Source organism: Homo sapiens, chromosome 3 (assembly GCF_000001405.40).
Source record: "Homo sapiens chromosome 3, GRCh38.p14 Primary Assembly".
Lineage (NCBI taxonomy): Eukaryota > Metazoa > Chordata > Mammalia > Primates > Hominidae > Homo > Homo sapiens.
The window spans coordinates 141,719,026-141,725,025 of record NC_000003.12 but is presented as its reverse complement, the minus strand read 5'-3'; the positions used below and the strand labels follow the sequence as shown (position 1 = coordinate 141,725,025).

General features: G+C 41.6%; 1 pseudogene across 1 annotated transcript in view; it reads right to left on the bottom strand.

Annotated features, from left to right (window-relative positions):
- Window positions 1-3,951: 3,951 nt before the first annotated feature.
- LRRC78P (leucine rich repeat containing 78, pseudogene) overlaps window positions 3,952-6,000 on the bottom strand; it is a 57,876-nt pseudogene continuing 55,827 nt past the window's right edge. Inside the window, exon 8 of the transcript NR_136190.1 lies at window positions 3,952-4,034. The product of NR_136190.1 is annotated as a leucine rich repeat containing 78, pseudogene (transcript). The remainder of the gene's footprint in view (window positions 4,035-6,000) is intronic.

The following is a 6,000-nucleotide window of genomic DNA, read 5'->3' as shown; positions in this document are numbered from 1 at the left end:
TGCCATCATGATATACTTTTTGTATTTCCCTGTGCTGGACACCCAATGGGCTCTTTCAACGTGCAGATTTATGTTCCTTGGCTCTGGGAAAGTTCTTTATTTATTCCTTTGATAATTCCCTGTCTTCACTTTTCTCTGCTTTCTCTTTCTGAAAACTCTTAGTTAGACACTGATGTTCGTAGGTTGATCCTCTGTCTCTTATACTTTCTCACCAATTTTTCATCTCCTTATCTTTTGTTTCACTTCTGAAGCTTTCTTTCTTTTTTGGGGGGTGGGGTGGGGGCTGAGTACAGGTGACTTTGTTGATGGTACACAACAAAGCAGAGTTCCCCAGACCTTCCCTCTTCAGGGGGGATTCTCAGTGTGGTGGGGGACTGAGTGCAGCAGGGACTCCCCAGCAGCTGAGGGCCTCTCTCATCCTCTTTGCTCTGACTGGTGGTTCAGGGGTCTTACTCCTTGGAGGTTATGTGGAACTTGGCCTTGTTCATACTGGAACATGCTCATACTAGAACATGTAGGCCATGTAGTTGTGGTCAATGAAGGGGTCATTGATGGTGACAACATCCACTTTGCCAGAGTTAAAAGCAGCCCTGGTGACCAAGGCCCACTGTGGATACATCTGTTTATTCTGGCCTTCACCTTCACCCTGGTGTCTGAGGGGCGCAGCTGGTGCTGCATGAGAAAATGCAGCTGTCTCTCAAACTGGAGGAGCAGAGGGCTGACTCTCTTGATTTTATCTGTCTACCTTTTTTTCCCCCCAGAATATTTTATTTTGTCTATCTTTTTTACTGTCCAAAAACTTTTTCTTATTTTCTAATTGTTCTTTTTTCATAGTACCCCATTCCCTTTTTATGGATGCCTTATCCTTTCTTCCATTCAGAATGCTATAATGTTACAGCTTTTTTTTGGTTTTTCTTTAGTTTTCTGCATTGTTTCTATATCTTCAGGGTTCCTTCATTCCCTCTGTTTCAGAGTTGGTCTCTCGTGTTGGAGACTTGCCTCAAGTGTCTGGAGGTTCTCAGGTATCTTGTTCACAATGAAGCATAAGACATACAAAGGCTGATGGGCAGCTGTCATGTATGTTCAGGGCTTGCTGACCTGCTAGGCTTCTTTGAATGGTGAGGAGATGGCCAGCTGTCAGCATCTAGAATTTCTTTTTCTAGGGCTATTCAATTTCTCAAGTAATACCCCAATCTTCTACATGGCTGTCAGCCTTCTGGAAGCAGGGCAGACAAGCCTAGGGTGGTAGTAAGGACTGAGTTTCAACTGCTCAATATGTACAACTTTCCTTAATTCTCATCTTTGTAGCTTCTCCCCAACCCACATTTTCCACCTTGCTGGGTGTTCTGGGTCTGCTGAAAGGCTCTGTGTAGTTTTCCCAGAGAAAACTCCCTAACTAGAATCCTTGTTCTGCCCTTGCCTCCCCTATAGTCTATTTTTAACATAGAGCTGAAGCAATCCTGTTAAAATGTGGGTTACATCAGGTTACTTCTAGGTTTATCATTCTCAAAAGCCTTTCCTTGTCAACAGTTACACCCAAAAGTCCTCACAAGGGTCTAGAAGGCTTTCTGCTCTGCATACTTGCATCTCAAATTGTTTGTCCTCTGACTCTCCCATTCTAGCTCACTCCATTCAGCCATGCTGGCTGCTTTACTGAACACACCAGGAGGCTCCTACCTTAAGGCCTTGGCACTTGCTGTTCCTTCTAGCCAGAATGCTCATCTCTCAGATATTCACATGGCCTGCTCCATCACTACTTTAGGTCTTTACTTAAGTGTCCCTTCTCAGCAAAGCCTTCCCTAGCTACCCTAAGATGGCAACCCCCATGCCCTGACACACACTTTACCCCCTCATTTGCTTTATTTTTCCTCTAAGTATGATCCCCATCAGATATACAATCATATATATGCCTCATGAAGGCAGGAATTCATGACTCTCCTCCTACCAGGCCCAGAACAGGGCCTGGTACATGATAGGCATTTAACAAATATATATTGAAAGAAATAAGAATGAATAAATGAAATGTTCCTTCAGTACTCTGTTTTCTTATTAGTGAAAAAGCAGTAAGACAGGATAACAGCTTATTGTTTCACTAGCTATTTTTTTTTTAATGAAATGAGCTTGCTAATGTTTCTGAGGAAGATTTCACTGGGCCTCGTCCATCATTAAAGGCAGGTCATTAAGATCTCCTTGATAGCCAAGTAAGTGACCTCAGGCTGTTAATTTGGATTTCATGAACGAATTAGAATTAGAATTAGAAATTAGCTTGTTAACTTGCAAATGTTAAGAAACAATCAATTGAAGAACATTAGCTCTATAATCAGTAATACTATTAATTGCTTTTAATGTTTAAAATGATGCCATTAGGGCTGAATGGGAAGAGATTTTTCCTATAAAACCCAACCAGTTAACCCTGTTTTGAGGAATCTTCTTGGTGTTCAAACTAACAATCCAATTGAAGTATTCCATCAGAAACACCATAATTATTTCAGCTCAAGAGAGGGATGCATTAAGGCTACTCATGATACATATTACTATATTTGAAAAAAAGATTTCTTGAACTATAAATTACTTTTTAATGCCTTCTAAATGCGTATTTGTATTTTCAGGTGGATATTTCATAATTATCTTCTCATTTATGCAAATTAAAACATTTACTAAGCAAAGCATGATGTTTTCCAGCTCCAAATACATACTCAGAGATAATCACTTTCCATCAAGTCATCTGAGACTGATTGTCATTAGCATTCACTATAGTCATGGTCATGAGACTGCCTGCAGACTTGTAACATCTTCTCCCTCAATGTACAATGAAAAAGTTACTACGGTGCCAGGAAAAACAAATGAAAGCATTAACCTGCCTTCAGTTTATCAAGCTTAAAGCTATATTTGAACTAAATTTAACAGAGTAATTCTGCTGAAATTGAATTCAACTCTAATGGAATAGAAAGTAGATATTCTGTTTCTCTAAAATAAAGGGATAACTTAAACATCATGGAATCACTTGATTGGCTGTTAAAAATGTAGGAGTTTTAGTTTTAAAAATGTCAATACAATATACAGTAATATCATTATAATTCTTCTATCTAAAACTCTAGAGCATTAAAAGAAAAATGCAATCTATGATTATGCTATGCCTCTAAGACCATTCTGAGGAAATGGTAGAGACAGATGCTTGGACTGCTTAATTCTCTCCGCTTGACCTGCCCAGTAACATACCAAGAGTTCTTTCTACTTTCCTTAAGGTTGAATTTGCATTTTCAAATCTGTTTATGAAGTCTTCCATTGAGCTTCATTTAAAATGACATTTCTTCACCTCCTCTGCATTAGCAGGGCAAGCAGCCGTCATTAATTCCAGTCATGCATGCTGGCGATGGAGAGGGCAGGAGTGGCCATTGGAACCAACTCCTTCCACATGTGATTCTCTCCTTTTCAAAGGATTGCAGGATCATAGAAGACTTACTGCTCTCCCTATGCCAATCACAATTTAATCATCGTTTGATGATCCAGAAAGCACATCAAAATCTTACGGGGGGGTGTTACTTGAGTTTTCCAACTGATATCTGGAGACCTCTTTGCAGATTGGGCTGAGAGGAGAATGGAGAGTGGGAGAAGCATTTCTTCGAGAACAGGCAAGGATGAGAGGATCAAGAGAGAAAAAAAGCAATAGAGAAAATTTCCCTTTAAAAACATGCATTACTTAGATTGAAGGCTACATATGACATCCTAGAAATTCTTGAACTCTGTGCAAATCACCGGGAAAATTGACACAATGATGGCTGGCCTGTGACAGTGTTCCTGGTCATTGCATAGTTCGGGCCAGTTACTTAAATGAAAAAAGCGGAGCAAGTTGTGAGTAGTACAGCGTTTAGGAGTGAGTGGCTGTGGGCAGGTGGAGGGGAAACACATAATCTGAAAACACTCTACCTGTCTTTCTGGCTCTCAGCGCTTCAAGTATGTTAGCAGCAGCCATTTCTCCCAGAACATTGTTTCCAAGGTCAATTTCCCTTAAGTAGGCAGAGTATTTGATCAGGCTGTCAAAAGAAAATCACACACACACACACACACACACACACACACACACACACACACACAGGCATCGTGTCAAGCATTGTTACTCAAAGAACCTCAATCCAGTTATTTTGGAGAATGATCTCTCTTTTTAAACCCCTCCCCCAACCCCAAACCCAAGATGATGCATTGGCCCAATGTGAGACCAAAGACACCCCGAAACCAATTTTTACCAATCTACTCTCTCTAGTTTGGATACTTCTCCTAGGTAAGTTGGTAGAATAAGGATTTTTGGTTGCTTTAAATCCTTAATTCGTTTATTTACTCAAAAGATATGGTATGATATAACGTAATGCAGGACTTCCTGGTTTAGATTTTACATACCAGCAAATGTCCAAAAGTTTAGAGCGACAGACAAAGGTTTGGCAACTTTTAGTATGTCAAGAAATAACAACTATCCACACCGTAAACGAGCAAACATTTTTACATCAAATTAGTAAGGGCATAGTCTGAAAACAAAGGGTAGCTCTTTAAATCAAATAACTTTAGTTTTATGAAAAGTAAACTGTACTGTCATTACGTTTGTAATTTCTTTGAGGACTATTGAAAAAAAATGTTTTTTGAGACAGAGTCTCGCTGTGTCACCCAGGCTGGGGAGAAGTGGCATAATCTTGGCTCACTGCAACCTCCATCTTCCAATTTAAGCAATTCTTGTGCCTCAGCCTCCCAAGTAGCTAGAATTCAGGCATGTGCCACCACGGGAAATTTCTTAAAGTGCAGGCCTTGCACTGGACTGCTGACTGGTCTTTGGGACTCTCTGGCATCATGAGTGAATAAGAAATCTGGGCAAAGGCCTGGACTCCTGGTCAGCTTCAACCTCTTGTCAAATCACGTGTCAGATCATGTGATGACGGCAGGCTATGTGCCCTCACCTCCTTCATCTATAAAACTGGCCTGAAAAAGGCTGTTCTGTCTGTTTCGTAAGGTTGTAGTGAAAACAGAATGAAGTCATTTCTGTGAAAGCATTTTGCAAATGCAATGCCGCTGATGGTATATTGAGTGCATACTTATTACATGCATATTATGTACCTAGCACTGCAGGGATTAAGAGAGGTTTGACACATGGCCTCTGCTCTGAAAGAAGTTATATGACTATCAATAAAGCAATTTCAAGCCCTTACCATGGGCTGCAGGTATGAAATTTCAGTTAGGGTCCACATTGAATATGAGTCTACTTTCTCGCTCATTGTATATATTTTCCACTGATTCAGCAGCTGGAATGCAAGGCCAGAGCTGAATGGTCCTGCCAGACTCTCTCAAAGGTCTTGCTCTTGAGGAAACAGTCGGCCTAGTCAGGATTTGACCAGCCTTGGCTTCCTGAACTGCCTGGTTGTGTGCACTGTCTTCAGACAAAATGAGTGGACAGCAGGGATGTGAGGCGGAACAGAGGGTCCACAGAAGGAGGTCAGGAAGTGAGGAGGACAAACTTCATAACTCAATGATTCTACATCTAGGTCGACTCCAGAGGCTTTGGATCTCACCACTACACCATGCAGCCTCACATGAGCTAAGGTTTGATGGAGCATTCACTACACGCCAGCTGTGACCAGGGCCACCCACATGGTTAAGTGCTTGTGCCCTGCACAAGGTGCCTTCCAAGAGGGTAAGTGGGGCTGAAATCAAACAGAGATCTGCTTGCCAAATGCTGGGCTCCAAAGCGTGGACCTGGAAGGGGAATTTCCTCTGATTCATTTGCCAGAGGTGGTGACTTTGTAATTCATCTGTGCAAAATATTTCAAGTTCAAGACCAGCCTGGCTAACATGGTGAAAACTCGTCTCTAAAAATACAAAAATTAGCCAGGCATGGTGGCGAGTGCGTGTAATCCCAGCTATTTGGAAGGCTGAGGCAGGAGAATTGCTTGAACCTGGGTGGTGGAGATTGCAGTGAGCTGAGATCACACCACTGCACTATAGCCTGGGTGACACAGC